This window comes from Homo sapiens, chromosome 1 (genome assembly GCF_000001405.40).
Source record: "Homo sapiens chromosome 1, GRCh38.p14 Primary Assembly".
NCBI lineage: Eukaryota > Metazoa > Chordata > Mammalia > Primates > Hominidae > Homo > Homo sapiens.
This window is the reverse complement of record NC_000001.11, coordinates 213,093,650-213,115,053: the sequence shown is the minus strand read 5'-3', so window position 1 is coordinate 213,115,053 and position 21,404 is coordinate 213,093,650. Positions and strand designations below refer to the sequence as shown.

The following is a 21,404-nucleotide window of genomic DNA, read 5'->3' as shown; positions in this document are numbered from 1 at the left end:
ATCCTGATACCAAAGCTGGGCAGAGACACAACAAAAAAAGAGAATTTTAGACCAATATCCTTGATGAACATTGATGCAAAAATCCTCAATAAAATACTGGCAAACCAAATCCAGCAGCACATCAAAAAGCTTATCCACCATGATCAAGTGGGCTTCATCCCTGAGATGCAAGGCTGGTTCAATATATGCAAATCAATAAATGTAATCCAGCATATAAACAGAACCAAACACAAAAACCACATGATTATCTCAATAGATGCAGAAAAGGCCTTTGACAAAATTCAACAACCCTTCGTGCTAAAAACTCTCAATTAGGTATTGATGGGACGTATTTCAAAATAATAAAAGCTATCTATGACAAACCCACAGCCAATATCATACTGAATGGGCAAAAACTGGAAGCATTCCCTTTGAAAACTGGCACAAGACAGGGATGCCCTCTCTCACCACTCCTATTCAACATAGTGTTGGAAGTTCTGGCCAGGGCAATTAGGCAGAAGAAGGAAATAAAGGGTATTCAATGAGGAAAAGAGGAAGTCAAATTGTCCCTGTTTGCAGATGACATGATTGTATATCTAGAAAACCCCACTGTCTCAGCCCAAAATCTCCTTAAGCTGATAAGCAACTTCAGCAAAGTCTCAGGATACAAAATCAATGTGCAAAAATCACAAGCATTCTTATACACCAACAACAGACAGAGAGCCAAATCATGAGTGAACTCCCATTCACAATTGCTTCAAAGAGAATAAAATACCTAGGAATCCAACTTACAAGGGATGTGAAGGACCTCTTCAAGGAGAACTACAAGCCACTGCTCAAGGAAATAAAAGAGGATACAAACAAATGGAAGAATATTCCATGCTCATGGGTAGGAAGAATCCATATCGTGAAAATGGCCATACTGCCCAAGGTAATTTACAGATTCAATGCCATCCCCACCAAGCTACCAATGACTTTCTTCACAGAATTGGAAAAAACTACTTTAAAGTTCATATGGAACCAAAAAAGAGCCCACATCGCCAAGTCAATCCTAAGCCAAAAGAACAAAGCTGGAGGCATCACCCTACCTGACTTCAAACTATACTACAAGGCTACAGTAACCAAAACAGCATGGTACTGGTACCAAAATAGAGATATAGATCAATGGAACAGAACAGAGCCCTCAGAAATAACGCCGCATATCTACAACTATCTGATCTTTGACAAACCTGAGAAAAACAAGCAACGGGGAAAGGATTCCCTATTTAATAAATGGTGCTGGGAAAACTGGCTAGCCATATGTAGAAAGCTGAAACTGGATCCCTTCCTTACACCTCATACAGAAATCAATTCAAGATGGATTAAAGACTTAAACGTTAGACCTAAAACCATCAAAACCCTAGAAGAAAACCTAGGCATTACCATTCAGGACATAGGCATGGGCAAGGACTTCATGTCTAAAACACCAAAAGCAATGTCAACAAAAGCCAAAATTGACAAATGGGATCTAATTAAACTAAAGAGCTTCTGCACAGCAAAAGAAACTACCATCAGAGTGAACAGGCAACCTACAACATGGGAGAAAATTTTCGCAACCTACTCATCTGACAAAGGGCTAATATCCAGAATCTACAATGAACTCAAACAAATTTACAAGAAAAAAACAACCCCATCAAAAAGTGGGCGAAGGACAAGAACAGACACTTCTCAAAAGAAGACATTTATGCAGCCAAAAAACACATGAAAAAATGCTCACCATCACTGGCCATCAGAGAAATGCAAATCAAAACCACAATGAGATATCATCTCACACCAGTTAGAATGGCAATCATTAAAAAGTCAGGAAACAACAGGTGCTGGAGAGGATGTGGAGAAATAGGAACACTTTTACACTGTTGGTGGGACTGTAAACTAGTTCAACCATTGTGGAAGTCAGTGTGGCAATTCCTCAGGGATCTAGAACTAGAAATACCATTTGACCCAGCCTTCCCATTACTGGGTATATACCCAAAGGACTATAAATCATGCTGCTACAAAGACACATGCACACATATGTTTATTGCGGCATTATTCACAATAGCAAAGACTTGGAACCAACCCAAATGTCCAACAATGATAGACTGTTAAGAAAATGTGGCACATATACACCATGGAATACTATGCAGCCATAAAAAAGGATGAGTTCATGTCCTTTGTAGGGACACGGATGAAACTGGAAATCATCATTCTCAGTAAACTATAGCAAGAACAAAAAACCAAACACCGCATATTCTCACTCACAGGTGGGAATTGAACAATGAGAACACATGGACACAGGAAGGGGAACATCACACTCTGGGGACTGTTGTGGGGTGGGGGGAGAGGGGAGGGATAGCATTGGGAGATATACCTAATGCTAGATGACGAGTTAATGGGTGCAGCACACCAGCATGGCACATGTATACATATGTAACTACCCTGCACATTGTGCACATGTACCCTAAAACTTAAAGTATAATAATAATAAATAAATAAATAAAAATAAAAAAAAAGTTTGAGAACCACTTGTATACAATATAGGTAAAACAAAAAAAATTAAGGTACTTTTAGTAGAGATATTTTTTAAAGATATAAAAAATAAATATAAAATTGATTTCTCTATGTGGCTATCATTTTAATTCCCTATTTAGGTTTGCAAATTCACGCCTCAGAAAGTTAATCTTACTCTACATGCAGCTAGAGAATGATATCACCAGACAAGTAGTGGTGGTATGATGCTGTGCTATAGCTTTATGTATGCTCCAATCACAATAGAAGAGCTTATAATCCTTAAATAATTAAAACAATAGCTCTTCTGCTCCTTAATACCTTCCCCTCTACCTTCTACCAACAGTTCTATGCCTCCAAACACTACTAACAGAATAATAAAGCTCAAAAGAATTACAAGCCCCCATTTCCTCTCTACTTCAGCACAAAAAAAACTCAATTACTATCTTTACCTAATCAGAAGTCCCTTCTCTGTCAGCTTGTTTTTAAGGAACAGAAATTTGAAATGGTCCCTCTCAAATTACCACATTTTACTTCCCTTAGTGTTATGTGAACTAAAACCTTAAAAATGATTATTCTCTTTAGGAGCGACAATTTGTATTACTTTATTCTACACTTTATTACAATATTCAGATTACAGCTTATATTTGAACTTTTCTCCAAAAAGAATATCTATTCTAGACTAAGCCATCTTTTAAACAATATCCAAACCAAATCAAGATTTCCAAGTATTCTAGAGAATGTCAAAAGATAAAGTTAATGTTAAAACAAAGTATCTTTCAACTATTAACTACCTCTTCTACCACTAGGTGTGCGATTTAAGTTACCGACCTATAAAATGTCTTCTAACTAAGACATTATTTTATTTTACATATTTCATGCAAAATAAAAAATACACACAGAGTATTTAGAACAATGTAGGCACTCAATAAATGTTTATTATTAGTTGACATAAGATCTTCTTGTAAGATAAAATTTAAAATGCAAAATGTTTTAGCTCATAATCCTAAATATTTTATTTACCTAGTTTAACAAACACTGTTATAAAAAATAAATAGGAAAGAACAAATATTTAATGAAACACAACAAAAACTGTTATACAGGAACTAGAGGGATGTAGCAGTAAAATAATGCCACAATCCTAATTTTAAACTTCTAATTCAAAAATAACCTTTTAGGTGTTTCTGAGTATGCAGTAAAAAAATTTCATAGAAATTTTGGGATATATAGTATCTCAAAGTTTTTCTGTTAATGAAGAGTCTAGCAGGGAAGGACTTCTGGTATAGTTAAGTGAGGAGATCCAGCAAATGCTTTCCCCAAAAGGCAATTATAAATCTGGAGAAATCTGTCAAAACCACCATTGAGGGCTCTGGAAATTGACTAAAAGCATAAAGCAAATGAAAGAGTGGTTACCGAGAAACCACAGAACCACAGGTAAGAACTATGGACGTCTGTGATGTTCTTGCCTCAGTTCCTCCCAACCCCCATCCCAGCTGAGTGGTCACAGTAATTATATAAGGGCAAGGCAAGTCTTGAAAACCAGCAGGTTCACTTTTGAGGAGGCTAATGTGATTTGGATTGAAGCACAGAAAAAAAAAAAAATCCACCCCAAATATTGTCAATAATAGTAGCAATCTCAGGGCCAAATATATGGCAAGGAAAAGTGATGGCTCAGCACACCTGAAGTTGCAGTCAGGAAAAGACCAGACAGCAGGGAGATCCAGAAAATAACACAGCCACAGGGGGTCTTCATAAAGCTCACTACCCATCTGTGTAGAGACCAGAGAGGGGTCAAGCTATCCACGAATACCTGGCAAACCATGAGACAGTGCACAGGCACAGAGGAAATTCAAGACTTCAGAGGAAAGTAAAAGCCAGGGCAAATTTTAAAACAGCTGAGACTTTGAAAACACATTAAAAAATCATCAGCATTAAAAGGAAAGCATATAATGGCACAGGTGTTTAAGCACAAGCAATGACCGAGCACTGGCTGACCACAAAGCTATGCTGACACAGGTCTAACCCCTATATAGCCTGGCTTAAAAATAAAATTAGAATTAAATATTGGGCAGAGATATCAGCAGTCACACACTTCACAGGAAATGGACTCCACAGATTTACTATGGACTAAACACACTAACAAAAAGTATTAGTTACTAAACACACTAACATAAAATGGCAAGAATCCTCAGGAAGAAAAAAAACATCAGAACTTAGAGTTCTATCGTATATTATCCAAAATATAGATTTTCCAACAAAAAAAAATTACAGGACATACAAAGACACAGGAAAGTATGTGACCCAAACATGGGAGGTAACCAGTCAATCGAAACTATCTGTGAGGGAACAAAGATGTTGGACTTGGCAAAAACTTCAAAGCAGCTATTAAAAATATGTTCATATTATCAAGGGAAAACATGATTAAAGAATTAAAAGGACTATGACTCATAAAATAGCAAATATAAATAAATCAAAATTATAAAAAAGGATCAAATGAAGCATTTTTCATAACAGCCATAAGCAAAAACAATCTGAATGTCTATCAACTAATGAATGGATAAGCAAAATGTGGTATATTCATATCCATTCAATGAACTATTATTTAGCCATAATAAGGAATGAACTACTGATACATGCTACAACCTGGATGAACCTTAAAAACATAAATATATGTACATACATACACACCCTCTAAATCTCCAATAAAAAAAAAAAAACTTCCCACCTAAATTCCACTCCTAGGTATACCTACGAGAAACAAAAATACCTGTCTGCACAAGAACTTGTATGTCAATATTCATAACAGCACCATTCATAATAGCCAAAAGGGGAACAACCCAAATATGCACCAACACACACTGTAGATAAACAAAATGTAGTATATCCATAGCCACACAAAAGAATATTACATAATCACAAAAATGGATAAAGTACTGATGCATGCTACAACATGAATGAACCATTAAAGCATAATACTACATGGAAAAAAAAACAGTTTAATTCAAAACAGCATCATAAGATTAAAATGCTTACAAATAAATTTAAGGCAAGAAGCTCCAGACTTATACCCTGAAAATTATGAAACATTGCTTAAAGAAATTACAGAATATCGGGCCGGGCACGGTTGCTCATGCCTGTAATCCCAGCACTTTGGGAGGCCGAGGCAGGTGGATCATGAGGTCAGGAGATTGAGACCATCCTGGCTAACATGGTGAAACCCCGTCTCTACTAAAAATACAAAAAAATTAGCCAGGCGTGCTGGCGGGCGCCTGTCATCCCAGCTAACCAGGAGGCTGAAGCAGGAGAATGGCATGAACCCGGGAGGTGGAGCTTGCAGTGAGCCAAGATGGCACCACTGCACTCCAGCCTGGGCAACAGAGCGAGACCCCGTCTCAAAAAGAAATTACAGAATATCCAAATAAATATAGAGTCATTTCATTTTCATGGATTGCAAGATAATATTGTTAAAATGACAATTTTCCCCAAACTGAACTACAGATTCAATACAATTCTAATCAGAATTCTGAGGAGCAAGCCAAAATAACTCAGTTGGGAGAGCATCAAACTGAAGGATTTTAGCAGGTGTTTCCAATACCTTCAGCCAGGTGTGGTGACTCACACCTGTATTCCCAGCACTTTGGGAGGCTGAGGCAAGAGAATTACTTAAGGCTAGGAGTTCAAGACCAGCCTGGGCAACACAGTGAGAACCTGTCTCTACAAAAAAATTTAAAAATAAGCTGGGTGTGGTGGTTCCTGTCCCAGTTACTTGGGAGGCTGAGGTGGGAGGATCCCTTGAGCCCAAGAGTTTGAGGTTAAAGTGAGCTATTATTGTGCCATTGCATCCCAGCCTCGGTGAAAAAAGTGAGACCCCAATTCTTTAAAAAAAAAAAAAAAAGAAGTAAAATAATAAAATAATTTTAAAATTCTATGAGAATTTTTTGTTCACATGGATAAGCTGCCACTAAAAATTTTTATGGAAGTTCAAAGAACTCAAAATTGCCATAACAATTTTGAAAAAGTAAAGTAGGCAAACTTACACTAGCTGACTTCAATACTTAAAAAGCTACAGTAATCAAGACAGTATGGTTCTAGGATAAGACAGGCACGTAGATTAATAGAACTATCAACAGTCCAGAAATAAGCCATTATAATTACAGTCAATTTACTTTCAGCAAGAGTCCCAAGGTGATTCAATGAGGATAGTCTTTTCAACAAATGATGCTCAGAATATTAGATATACACACACCAGAAGATGAATTTAGACCGTTCCTTCACACCGTATATAAAATGAACTAAAAATGAATCACAGACCTGTAACATTAAAACTTCTAAAAGTAAACAGAAGAAAATCTTCATGATCTTGGGATACTCGAAAAGTTCCTGGGTATGACAGGCATAACCCAAAAAAGAAAAAATATATATAAATTATACATCATATCAAAGCTAAAAGCTTTTGAGCTTCAAATGACACCACTAAGAAAACTAAAAGGCTACAGACTGGGGAGAAAATATTTACAAATCACTTATCTGATAAGACTGTTTATACAGAATATATTCAGAACTCTTACAACTCAATGATAACCCAATCAAAAAAATGGGTAGATTTTAATGGACATTTCACCAAAGATATATGAAAAAAGCAGAGGAAAACATGCTCAACATCATTAGCCATTAGGAAACTGAAATTAATACTATGGTGAAATGCCACTGCACACCTGCTAGAATGGCTACAGTTAAAAAATCAGACAATACCAAGTGTTGGTGAGGTTGTGGAACAACTGGTAAGTTCAAACATTACTGGCTATTTTCCGTTTGGAAAACAGTTTGGCAGTTTCTTAAAAACACGAATTTACCATAAGATCCAGCAATTCCTCTCCTCAGGAATCACCCAAGAAAAATGAAAACATATATCCACACAAAGATTTGTAGGCAAATATTCACAGCAGCATTAGTCATAACAGCCAAAACGTAGAAACATCCAAACATGTCCATCAATTTATCAATGAATGAAGAAAATGTGGTATTATCTATACAATGAAATGCATTTCAGCAACATAAAAGAACAAAATGCTGATACATAACATGAATGAAGCTCAAAAGCATTATGCTAAGTGAAAGAAACCTATATACTTATGTTGTGAACAAAACGCTACATATATTGTGTAATTCCATGTATTTGAAATTATGGGGAAAGGCAAATCTATAGACAGAACAAGGTGGTTGCCCCAGGCTGGGGATGGAAAAGGGGATCACCATAGCAAGTAGACACAGAGGTGCGGTAATGGAAATGATCTAAAATTGGATGTTGGCCAGGCACAGTAGCTCACACCTGTAATCCCAGCACTTTGGGAGGCTGAAGCAGGCGGATCACTTGAGGTCAGGAGTTCAAAACCAGCCTGGCCAACATTGTGAAACCCTGTCTCTACTAAAAATACAAAAATTTGCCAGGTGTGGTGGCACACACCTGTAATCCCAACTACTCAGGAGGCCGAGGCAGGAGAATAGCTTGAACCCGGGAGGCAAGAGGTTGCGGTTAGCCGAGATTGTGCCACTGCACTCTAGCCTGGGCAACAGAGTGAGATTCTGTCTCAGAAAAAAAAAAGAATAAAATAAAATACAATTGGATGTTGGTGATAGGTGCAAAACTCTATAAATTTACTGAAAATCGGTGAATTGTACAATTATAATTAGTAACTGTACTAATACTAATAAATAAACAACCAGTGAAGAGTATGGGATGGAAAGGTATAGATAAAACAAGTTTGGCAATATACTGATAATTTCTGAAACCAGGCCATGGGTCATAGAAGTTCATTATACTATTCATTCTACTCTTATGTATGTGGTTTTTTAAAGTCAATGTAAGCAAGTGGCTATATGGTCATTTGCATGTGGCATCATCAATGTCTCTAAAGAGAAAAATAAACTATGATACTATAGCACACCCTGTGAATTAGCTACCCCAAAACCTTCCCCACAGCCTTCATCCATGATCAGAACTAGAAAGCTAAGAGTCACCTTCCGAGACTCCTTCAAATTAAGGATGGGCATGTGACCCTGTTCTGGCCAATGAGATGTAAGAAGGACTATCTCTAGATCATGTTTCTGGGAAAGCTTTTAAAAACTGCCATGTTTCTTTTGGCCTTTTCCCTTTCACACCTAAACCCAGAAACCTATGTCACTGATGACATTACTGAGCTCCATACCAGTCCTGGACTACCTTCCTCATTCATACTTCTTGTCATATGAAAAATAAATACCTTTTTTTTTGTTCAAGCTAATGGAATGAGTTTTTTTTTCTTGCTTGATTATCTCTATTTAAATAGAGATAATGACTGAATACCACTGCTCTGATATTCCCAAATCAGTATCCTGTTCCCGCCTAGCACGCTGTTAAAGATAGTTCTAAGATACTTTCCAAGATTAGTTTGACTTCTCTTAAACTGTCCAATCTTTCACAAACTCTGAAAATGACAGTCTCATTTCCCAGTGACTTCCAGCAACAATTACAATCAGGAATTCCCATATCCAGAAGAAATACAATGAACAGCTAACTTTTACTTAAATTGTTTAAAGTATTTAATAGGACTTCCATAATCCCTAATTTTTTTTAGCCATATGGCAGGTGGTAATTTGCATGACAGCTTTTCACAATTTCTATAAAGCAATATTCTTGTTTAATAATAAAGCCTTTTTCCATAAAAAACAGACTCCCTGACACATAGAAACAATTATTAACAAAGAACAGCAAAGAGCTAAATACTCTATCAATTTGATTTGGCCTTTATCCTAAAGATCTGCATAGGGCCATATGCAGAAATCACATTTATTATCTCAGCCTAGTTTGCAGAATGGTGAAAAATTAAGCAACACGGTCAATCATCAGAAATGTTATTGTTACTATAAACACTTCTATTACTATCATTATTTCTATTACTGTAAATTTGCAATATCTTTCAAAAGAACTTTCTTCAGTAGATAAAACATCATAAAAAATAAATTCCTAGGTGATGAAGCACTGGCAGAAAAAAATAAATAAATAAATAATCTGTGTAGATCCACTAAAATCAGAAAAATTAAATATCTCACTATTCATACATATCACTGGTTATATAGGCTAAGAAATTTAACTTATACAAGTGAATAGATTTTAAAGAAGTAAAAACAATTACAGCACAATCACTTAGATTTCTTTTTTTTTAGAAGGTTAACTCAATGCAACAGGGAAAATGTAGTAATTAAATACAACAATACCAACTGACAACATATACCGATACAGTTCAAAATAAGTTAGAAAATTATTATTAAAAATGGTAAAAAAAAAAAAAAAAACTTAAAATGAAAGCATTACATATCTAGGAACTTAAAACACTAATATCCAATGATCTCCAGTAATATAATTTGCACTGGCCTGCTCTCTAAAACTGTGCAGTTTTATATTTTTGTTGTATCTTTATACAAGTCAACATAATAACAAATTTAATATAGACTTACAGTGGCTTATATTCCAAGAGTAATCTGCCACTGAAAGACACTTCAAAAAGTGAAGGTAAGTACTAGAGTTTTATGATGCTTCATTTTTTTTAATGTATTTCAATTATGACAGAGTGAGTTAAACAATCTCTAAGCTCTTTGCATCAATTTTTTAAGATCCATGAATCAAAAACACTCAGGAGTCTGAGGCAACAGGAGGCTTGAGCCCAGGAACTCAAGACTATAGTACGCCATGATCACACCTGTCAATGGCCACTGAACAACAGTCTAAGCAACAGAGCAGAACCAGTTCCTTTAAAAAAAAAAAAAAAGCATAAATTTCTATACTAAAAATAGGAAATATGCCATAAACATTATTATAGAGCTATTAATTTCTACTTTTATAGTGAATAACGAAATTCAAAAGTGGCATTTTTTATTTTACTTTACTACAAATTACAAAAGTATTTAATAAGATATAAAATATTCCAGAAAGACTACCAAACCTTGAAAAAGTCTTCAAGCTGTTTACTATTGTAAAGAGCAGGAATATTGGCAGAGAACTGTAGCAGGTCTTCAGCACATTGTCTTCTCTCTTCGATAACAGTTTCATCAAATCGCCCTACAATTAAATAAGAATCAACACTTAAGGGAAGAATGATCAAACACTGGTTTATGATAGTTTACGTCCACAGATCAGAAAGCAGCAGCAGGCCTATCACTTAGTTGCTTTGCTTATTATGCAAACTTCTGAAGTCAAATCTAATCTCTACAATTAGAATCAGCAGTACTCTCAGTAGAAAAGAAAATGTTTCTGATAAAACAAGAGACAAAGGTGTCAACCGATAAATAAATGGTACATTCATAATTTAGAGCCTGTCAATTTAAGAAAGTTGACATTTAAGAAGCTGGTGATTCGAAACTAAAGATGAAAAGAGAATTTTAAAGAAGTGAAATGGTTTTCTATAGTAATCTAATACTGTAATTACTCATATAATTTTCCCTTTTCTACTCTTTTTGATTTATAAAGGGGCTGAAGAGAGGAAATTATGAGAACATCTGTATTATTAGTGGGGTCAAAAATCTCAGCTTGAAGCAAAAAGCTTTTATGCTAAATTCAACGTGTGATGCTGTCAGCATACATAACAGCATGCTTGTGAGAAAAAAGAACACACATATGGCACCAGTGAGTTCTGCTTTACAAGGTGATCAAAAGGTGCTTTCCATAGAATTTTTAAATGATACATAAAATTTGAATGCTGATAAGACATTTTCAAAATATGATCATTTTGTAGTACTTAGATTAGATTACCAGTTGACATTTATCATATGCCATATATCATACTGATTGCAATAAAAAAATACAAAATCAGAAAAGTAGCATCACCACATAAACATTTTAAGTGCCTTTGCAGAGTATTAACAGAAAACTGAGGCACAAAGAGATTCCTAGTTATATAGGCAAGGCAAGTGCCTATATGACTGGCAAGTGAAACTGAACCACTAAAATACCCTCTGCCCAGTGTGTCTCATGCTTATGGTGAAGTGTCTATTTCACGATAACTAAAAGGACCTGAATTCAAATACTACCTCTATCATTCACTAGCTATAAAATCTTAGGCAGATTATTTCCTCATTTTTAAAATGTAGGAAATGGATAATGTACTTAAGGTTCCCAGTTTCATGCGAGGCACATAGTAAGCACTTAATAGAATATCATGGTTCTTTGAATCTTCAAGTTCTATCATACTGACTAAAATACAGAGCATGCTAGCAAGCTTTTATTGACTGTGTGAGTGAATAACAAAAACTTTTAAAAGCCATGTCAAAATAAATAAATAAATGTCTTACAATGAAACATTATCACAGATAATCTTTTTTTTTTTTTTTGAGACAGGGTCTCACTCTGTCACCCAGAGTGATCAAAACCTCACTGCAGCCTCAACCTCCCAGGCTCAAGCAATCCTCCCACTTCAGCCTCCCAAGAAGCTGGGACTACAGGCACACGCCACCACAGCCAGCTAATTATTTTGTAGAGAGAGGGTCGCACTACGCTGCCCAGGCTAATGTCGAATTCCTGGATGCAAGTGATCCTCCCATCTAGGCCTCCCAAAGTGCTGGGATTGTATTGCAGGCATGAGCCACCATACCCAGCCTATAACAGGAAATCTTAACAGTGGATCCATACACAACCTCTTAGGCAATGGTTCATGGATGGGCTCCAGAGACAATAATCCCACAGAATTCCATGCATATATATACACAGGTGCATTTTTCTAAGGATAGGGTCTATAACTTTTATCAGTATCTTGATAGAGCCTAGGACCAAATAAAGGTCAGCAGGCAAGTAGCAGTCAATTAGAGGATTCCTAACATTCTGTATACTGCTTTACTTACTATGGAATAGGCTGTCCACTGCTATCCAAATATTTGTTCTTGCTTTCTTCCTCAATTTTTATTCAAATGGGTACATGACAGCCCAGGAAAAAAAAAATTGTAATTGCCAGCTTGCTTTGCAGTTAGGCATAGATATAAACTAAGTTCTGGCAAATAGCATATAAACAAATTATACTGTAGCTTCCCAGAAATCTTTTTAAAAGACAAATGACATACAACCTCTCTCCCTTTCTTCTTTGTCCCTTCCCCCTTTCAAGAAGAACCAAGAAGTGGAAGGTTAAAAATGACACAAACAGGGTACAGTGGCGCAAACCTATAATCCCAGCTTCTCAGGAGGCTGAGGCCAGAAGGATCACTTGAGCCTAGGAGTTCAACTCAGCCTGGGCAACATAGCGAGACTACATCTCATTAAAAAATGACACAGCAACAAGACAGGAGCTTGGATTCCAGATCACTGGGCAGCTGCCACGCTTGAGGCTACCTCCAAATCTTTTGCCATGAGGAAGAAATGGACTTCTATCTTGAGTTTTCTCACAAATAACCAAACCCAACATAATCCATTATGCCACATTTGTTTTTCTTAGTTCTCAGTTCAAATGCTCTCAGTTCAAATGCAACAATTAAACTCAACCCTCCCAATAACAATACCAAATCTAAAATGACACTACTCGCTTACCTATCACTAATATTATCTAGAAACAAATCTGCAAGAACCCCAATAGGTAAAACCAATTCTCTGGCTTGAAAACAATCTAAATGATTTAATCTTAGGAAAAAATCTACTGGCCAACTAGATTAAATGCTCATTATTCCTTATTTTGCCTAAATAAGAAAGTATGAATCAGTGCTTATGATTATAGTCCAATATAGTTATCGCTTAAAGAAAAAAGTAAATTCAAGTGCCTATAAATTAATATTAGTAATTGTGTAAACATCTAAAAGCTTAGAAAAATAACCTAGAAAATGCACACATTATTTTATACTTTGACCCACTAGACTACCTGAGAATATCTTTAAATGCATTAACTACTTGTTGAGAAATCTTAATGGAAGTCTTCTTAATATTTAATAGTACCCTAAAAAGATCTTATTTCTATCTGAAACAAATACAAAAAAAAATTGGAGGCTTTAATCTTCTCCATTAAGCTAAAGTAAAACACTTAAGCAATGGAATAAATGTCAAAAGCATTTCTTGTACTGCTATTGATTTATTGTTTCTATTCCACTAAACTTTGACAAGCAGATATGAATTGAGACTTTTTTTCAGAGTAGTGCACAACCAAAAATAAAGGGTTATGCATTAAATAAGCTTCAATTACATTGAATCCTATTATCAGAACAAATACGATAAAGGAACATGCTCATTTCTTTGTTCCTAAAATACTTCAGAATAACAACAGAAGAATGGCATTAAGTGGGCAAAGGACATGAACAGACAGACTCTTCTCAAAAGAAGACATACAAGCAGCCAACAAACATGAAAATATGCTCAACATCACTGATCATTAGAAAAATGCAAATCGAAACCATAATGAGACACCACCTCATGCCAGTCAGAATGGCTGTTACTAAAAAGTCAAAAAATAACAGATGCTGGCGAGGTTGCACAGAATAGGGAATGCTTATAAACTGTTGGTGGGAGTGTAAATTAGTTCAGCCCCTGTGGAAGGCATGTTTGAGATTTCTCAAAGAACTAAAATTACCATTTGATCCAGCCATCCTATTACTGGGTATATACCCAAAGGAAAACGAATCATTCTACCAAAAAGACACCTACACTCTCATGTTTATCGTAGTGCTATTCACGATAGTAAAGACATGGAATCAACCTAGGTGCCCATCAACAGTGGACTGGATAAAGAAAATGTGGTACATATACACCATGGAATACTACACAGCCATAAAAAAGAATGAAATAATGTCCTTTGCAGCAACATGGATGCAGGTGGAGGCCATTATCCTAAGTGAATTAACACAGGAACAGAAAACCAAATACCACATGTTCTCACTTTTAAGTGGGAGCTAAACACTGGGTACACATGGACACAGAGATGGGCACAACAGACATTGAGAACTCCAAAAGCGGGGATGGAAAGAAGGAGATAACTGTTAAGAAACTATCTATTGGGTACTATATTCATTATTTGGGTGGTAAGTTCATTTGAAGCCCAGATCTCAACACCACACAATATAACCAGGTAACAAATCTGCACATGTACCTGCTGAATCTAAAATAAACTAATGTTTTCCCATTTCCTGATAATAATAAAATTTTTAAGAGACCATTAACACATGAATAGACGAACAACTGACTGGGAGAAAACATTTGCAAAACATCAAACGACTGGTGTCTAAGATATACAAAGAACTCCAGCCCCACAAAATAGACAAAAGATGTAAACAGATACTTCAAAAAAAAAGGATATATGAGTGGCTAATAAGCATGTGAAAAAATCTTTAGCCTATTAGCCGTCAGGAACTGAAAGTTAAAACCACAATAAGATACCATTACACATGCCCCAGAATGGCTAAAATTAAAAAAGGCTGATAATGCCCAATGTTGGTAAGAGTGTGAAGCAGCCAGAAATTTCATACATTGTTGATGGGAATATCAAATATACAAGCACTTTTGGAAAGTCTCTTAGTTCCTTATAAAATAAAACATACACCTATCTTATGATCCAGAAATTATATTCCTAGGTATTTACCCAAGAGAAACATATGTCCATATAAAGATGTTTATTGTAGATTTACTTAAAATTGCCCCAAACTGGAAACATTCCAGGTGCCCATTGATAGAACAGTGGATAAACAGACTGTGGTACATTTAAACTAAACAGCAATAACAAGGAATGAACCTCTGATGAACACAACAGTATGGATGAATCCCAAAAACATGCTGCAGGAGGGAAGCCAGACATGAAAAGTTTGTACAGCGTGATTCCATTTAAAATCCAGGATGTACAAAACTAATATATAGTAGAAAAAGTTCCTTCTGGGTAGCTTAAGGGCAGGGATTGACAGGGAAGGGGCAAGAAGCAAACTTTTAGGTGTTGGTAATGCCCTATATCTTGATAGGGGTTTGGGTTATACAGGTATATGTTTGTCACACATACAATGGGATACTTAAGATTTGTGCATTTAACTGTGTGTAAACTTATCTAAACAAAATGTAAACAAATACTGAACTCTTATTAATGACAATATGTTAAAATATGTATGGGTGAAAGACACTGGTATCTGCACTTTATGCTGAAATGCATAAAAACAAGACAGATTATGGAAAGATATATGATAAGGAAAATATAGCAAAATGTCACTGTCCACATCTTTCAACTTGTCTATATGCTTGAAAATTTTCACAATAAAATGTTGCGTAAAGTCTACTACAAAGAAAAAAATAGTACTCGTAGCATAAATGAAAAAACACAGATGAATTTTAATGAAATAACTTCTAGAACTAATATATTTAATAAAGACAACCTAATTTGAAAATTTTCAAAAAAGTAGCAGCAAGATTCAACAGTCATCCTAATGGCAGACAATAACCTTGCAACCATTCTCTACTTGTGTATCCTTCAACATAATCAAAATTTCACTTGAAAGGCTGTAACAACATGAGAAATCATAATCAGGTGCTTCTCCTACTACAGCTTTGAATTTCCCTTTGTAGTACCAATGTTTATTTTCCTGTGAACAGAGTAGAAAAATTATAGACATAGAAACATAGAAAATGCAAAACAAATTTTTCCCGAGGTTTACAGTGCAATATTATATACCTCATCTTATTGAATTTCAATTTACTGCTCTTCACAGATACTGCATTTTTTTACAAATTGAAGATTTGTGGCAACATTTTTCCAACAGCATGTGCTCACTTTATGTCTCTGTGTCACATTTTGGTAAATGTCACAATCAAACTTTTTCATTATTATTATATCTGTTGTAGTGATCTATGATCAGTAATCTTTGGTACTGGCATTTGCAATACAATAACATTGTTTTGAGGCACCACAAACCACAAGAATATAAAACGCAAACTTAGTTAATAGGTGTTGAGTGTGTTCTGACTGCTCCACCAACCAGCTGTACCCAATCTCCCTTTCCTCAGGCCTCTGTATTCCCTGAGACACAACAATATTGAAAGTACACCAATTAACCTCTACAATGGCCTCTAAGTGTTCAAGTGAAAGGAAGAGTTACAGGTGTCTCACTTTAAATCAAAAGCTGGAAATAAGGCAGGGTGCAGTGGCTTACACCTATAATCCCAATACTCTCAGAGGCTGAGGCGGGCTGATCAGTTGAGCCCAGGAGTTTGAGACCAGCCTAAGTAACATGGTGAAACCCCGTCTCTACAAAAAAAAAAAAAAAAAAATTAGCCGGGCATGGTGGCACATGCCTGTAGTATGCCTGTAGTCCCCTGTAGTCCCAGATATTCAGGAGGCTGAGGAGGGAGGACTGCTTGAGTCCCAAAGTTCAAGACTGCAGTGAGCCATGATCGCATCACTACACTCCAGCCTTGGAAACAGAGCAAGACTCGGTAAGGAAGGCATAACACAAACCAAGAAATGTTGAAAGTTAGGCCTCTTGCACCAGTTAGCCAAGTCGTGAATACAAAAAATAAGTTACTGAAAGAAATTAAAAGTGTTACTCCAGTGAACACATGAATGATAAGAAAGTGAAGCAGCGTTATTGCTGATATGGAGAAAGTAAACCAGCCCCAACATTCCCTTAAACCAAAGCATACTCCAGAGCAAGGCCCTAACTCTCTAATTCTATGAAGGCTGAGAGAGGTGAAGAAGCTGCAAAAGAAAAGTTGGAAGCTAGCAGAGGTTGGTACATGAGGTTTAAGGAATGAAGCCATCACCGTAACATAAAAGTGCAAGGTGAAGCAGCAAGGGCTGATCTGTAGAGGCTGCTTCAAGTTATACAGAAGATCTAGCGAAAATCATTGATAAAGATGGCTACACTAAAGAACAGATTTTTAATGGAGATAAAACAGCCTTCTTTTGGAAGAAAATGCTATCCAACACTTTCATACCTAGACAGGAGAAGTCATGCTTGGTTTCCACACTTCGAAGCACAGGCTGACTCTTCTGTTAGAAGCTAATGCAGCTGGTGACTTTAAGTTGAAGCCAATGCTTACTGACCATTCTGAAAATCCTAGGGCCTTTAAGAATTAGGCTAAATCTACTCTGCCTGTGTTCCATCAACAGAAAAAGCCTCGATGACAGTGCATCTGTTAATAGCATGGTCTACTGAATATTTTAAGACCACTGTTGAGATCTATTGCACAGAAAAAAAGATTCCTTTCAAAAAAATTTTTTTTGAGACAGTCTCACTCTGTCCCAGGCTGGAGTGCAGTGGCGCGATCTCAGCTCACTGCAGCCTCCGCCTACCAGGTTCAAGTGATTCTCCTGTCTCAGCCTCCTGATTAGCCGGGATTACAGGTACACACTACCATGCCTGGCTAACTTTTGTATTTCTAGTAGAGACGGGGTTTCACCATGTTGGCCAGGCTGGTCTTGAACTCCTGACCTCGTGATCCACCCGCCTTGGCCTCCCAAAGTGCTGGAATTACAGGTATGAGCCACTGTGCCCTGCCCTTTCAAAATATTATTGCTCACTGACAATGAATCTGGTTCACTCGAAGCTCTGGTGGAGATGTACAAGGAGATTAATTATGTTTTCATGCCAGCTAACACAACATCAATTCTACAGTCCATGGGATCAAGGAGTAATTTTGTACTTTCAATCCTCCTTATTTACCTATATATTTCTGTGTGTATATAATATATATAAGCCACTTCCTCACCCCCAATTACCCAACAATGGTTTATTATTTATTATTTATTTAAGAAATACATTTCATAGGCTATAGATGACATACAAGTGATTCCTCTCAGAAACCTAAGCAAAATAAGTTGAAAACCTTCTGGAAAGGATTCACCACCCTAGATGCCATTGACAACATTTGGGGGAAGGTAAAACTATCAACTTTTTTTTTTTTCTTTGATACAGTGTCTCGTGCTGTCACCCAGGCTGGAGTACAGTAGCGCAATCTCAAATCACTGCAACCTCCGCCTCCCGGGTTCAAGCAATTCTCCTGCCTCAGCCTCCCGAGTAGCTGGAATTATAGGCGTATACCACCATGTCCGGCTAATTTTTCACCATGTTTGCCAGGCTGGTCTCGAACTCCTGACCTCAAGTGATCCACCCACCCTGCCCTCCCAAAGTGTTGGGACTATAGGCATGAGCCACCATGCCCAGCCAACATTAATAAGATTTTAGAAGCTGATTGTAACCCTCATGGATGACTTTGAGGGGTTCAAGACTTCAGTGGAGGAAGTAACTGCAGATGTGGTAGAAATAGCAAGAGAATGAAAACTGGAAGAGGAGCCTGAAGACGTGACTGAATTGCTGCAATCTCATGATAAAAGTTAAATGAACAAAGAGTTGCTTCTTATGGACGAGCAGAGAAAGTCGTTTCTTGAGAAGGAGTCTACTCCTGGTGAAGATGCTGTGAACACTGTTGAAATGACAACAAAGGATTCTGAATGTCACATACACTTAGTTGATAAAGCAGTCACAGGATCTGAGAGGACTGACTCCAATTCTGAAAGAAGTTCTACTGTAGGTAAAATGCTATCAAACACCATCACATGTTACAGAGAAATCTTTTGTGAAAGGAAGAGTCAATGGATACAGCAAATCTCATCGTTGTCTTATTTTAAGAAATTGCCACAACTACCCCAACTTTCAGCAACCACCACCCTGATCAGTTGGCAGCCATCAACATGGAGACAAGACGCACCATGAGCAAAAAGACTACCACATACTGAAGGCTCAGATGAAAATTAGCATTTTTAGCAATATAGTATTTCTTAATTAAGGTACGTACTTTTTTAAGACATAGTGCTACTGCACACTCAATAGACTACAGTACAGTATAAACACAACTTTTATATGTACTAGGAAACCAAAATATTCTGTGTGACTCACTTTATTGCAATGGTCTGAAACCAAATCTGCAATATCTCTGAGGTATACCTATATATTTCTGTGTGTGTATAATATATATAAGACACTCTCCCACTCCCAATCACCCAACAATGGTTATTAAAAGCTGTGGAGGGGAGGGAATTAAATCCAAACATTCTAACTAAGCTCATTACTCACTAAAAATAAAGCCTCTCTGTTTGATTTATAAGCTGTCTTTGGTATCTTCCCTATGTTGTTTTTATTATTTAGAAGAACTCCTAAATAGCAGAGTTTACAACTTTTTTAAAATGCATGTTAGTCATCAAAAGCTAGTTCATGGAACTAAAACTTATCCTTGACCAGTATGAAATTATCTAGAAAAGCTTAATGCTGATGATTCTTAACTATATCAAAAGTTCATTCACAGAGTAAAAAGAAAGAGAGAGGTCAAGATTCTCTGGATTAAATTCTCTCTAGCCAAACAGCACCAGGAACACACCTGTAGTTAAACAAGCTGAATTTATTACTTCTTACAACTAAGGAGAATACATACCATTGGGAACACTGGGGCATTTCACCAAGAGGGTATCAGAAAGGACTTACAGGGCTTTGGCTTGTGTTAGGGAAGGGTTCAAGGAAGTGGGGTTCTGCCCTGGATTGGATGCTGTCAGGAAGTGGAGGTAATTCTATGATTCTCTCAATTCTAATTCTATGATTCTATGATTTTTTAATGTATCTTACTATGAAGCAGGAAAAATAAAGCAAGGCTAAGGTTATGATTTATAAAGAAGCAGTAGTCATTCATTGTAACCAGAATGAGGATATTTGATCATTTTTGTGACTTGAACAATGTTTATGTTTTTGTCTGTGTTCAGACATGACTACAGGATGGTCTTGTTTTTGTCGTCATCCAAGGACATGGAGTGATCTTGTCTTAATGTTCAATGTTCTATGGAATTGTTTTTGTTCAATACGAGAACACCACAGCCTAATTGTGAATTCCAGGCCAACTCTAAGAAACACCAAGGTCAAACCAATATAGTGCCTGGCCAGTTCTTAGCTATTGGGAGCTGCCTGTCTCTCTCTCACAGGAAGTCATACTCTGATGACAGATAGAAGAAAACAAACAACAAACAATGATCTATTCATGAGAAAACAATCAGACAGATATAGCTTGTGAAACTGGCAAAACTACTGTTCTACGTTCTTTAAAAATGTCAGTGTTATGAAAAATCAAAAAGAAAAAAAATAAGAACTATTCTAGATTAAAGAAACCAAGAGAGGCATGATTATGAATCAAAAAAAAAAAGCTAAAAAGGACATTTCAAGGACAACTACAGAAATCTGAAGATGGACTGCCTATTTTATAATATTGCATCAATGTTAAATTTCATAGGTGCAATATGGTATTATGATCATAGCAGAAACATGGGGAGTAGGGATGAAATATCATGATGTCTGCATTTTATTCTCAAATGGTTCAGGAAAAAATGAGAAACACATACATAGAGACAGAAATGCAGAAGATGTGGCAAAATATTAACAATCCATGAATTTGGAAAAAAACGTATATATATGTGTTCACTATACTATTCTCTTGGTGGGGGGGGGGAGCATAAATTTGAAATTTTGTCAATTTAAAAAAAATGGGGAAAAATACATGAGTTAAGTGCTATACTGATGAGATGAATAACCAGGAAGGGTAAACAGTTAACTCAGCTGAAAAGAAGCATGGCAAACTTCCTAGAAGAGATATCTTCTGAAAGGCTAACCAGAAACTTCACAGCGGAGCAACACAAAACTAAAGAAGAAGACACAAGAGAGTAAGGTATGTTAGAGGAATGGTAAACTCACTGAGTAACAGATAATAGCTAACACTAGCTGACATGCATCTAGCATGGAGCTAAATATTATACAGATATAATTGTTAGAACAGTAAGGTATTATCCTTACCTTACCAATAAGAAAACTAGACTCAGATATTAATTTGTATAAGATCACACTGGCAGTAAATAGTTAACAGAAGATACGGGTCTAAATCTATCTGA

At 36.4% G+C, this 21,404-nt stretch overlaps 1 protein-coding gene across 46 annotated transcripts in view; it reads right to left on the bottom strand.

The window, feature by feature from the left end:
- RPS6KC1 (ribosomal protein S6 kinase C1) overlaps window positions 1–21,404 on the bottom strand; it is an 811,495-nt gene that overhangs the window by 747,682 nt on the left and 42,409 nt on the right. For all 46 annotated transcript variants that reach the window (XR_007058661.1, XR_007058662.1, NR_146210.2 and 43 more), the window contains one exon: window positions 10,485–10,600. Coding sequence is in view for 12 of the 46 variants with exons in the window: in XM_047417936.1 (XP_047273892.1) it covers window positions 10,485–10,600 (116 nt within the window). In the remaining 34 variants the exon portion in view is untranslated. The remainder of the gene's footprint in view (window positions 1–10,484; window positions 10,601–21,404) is intronic.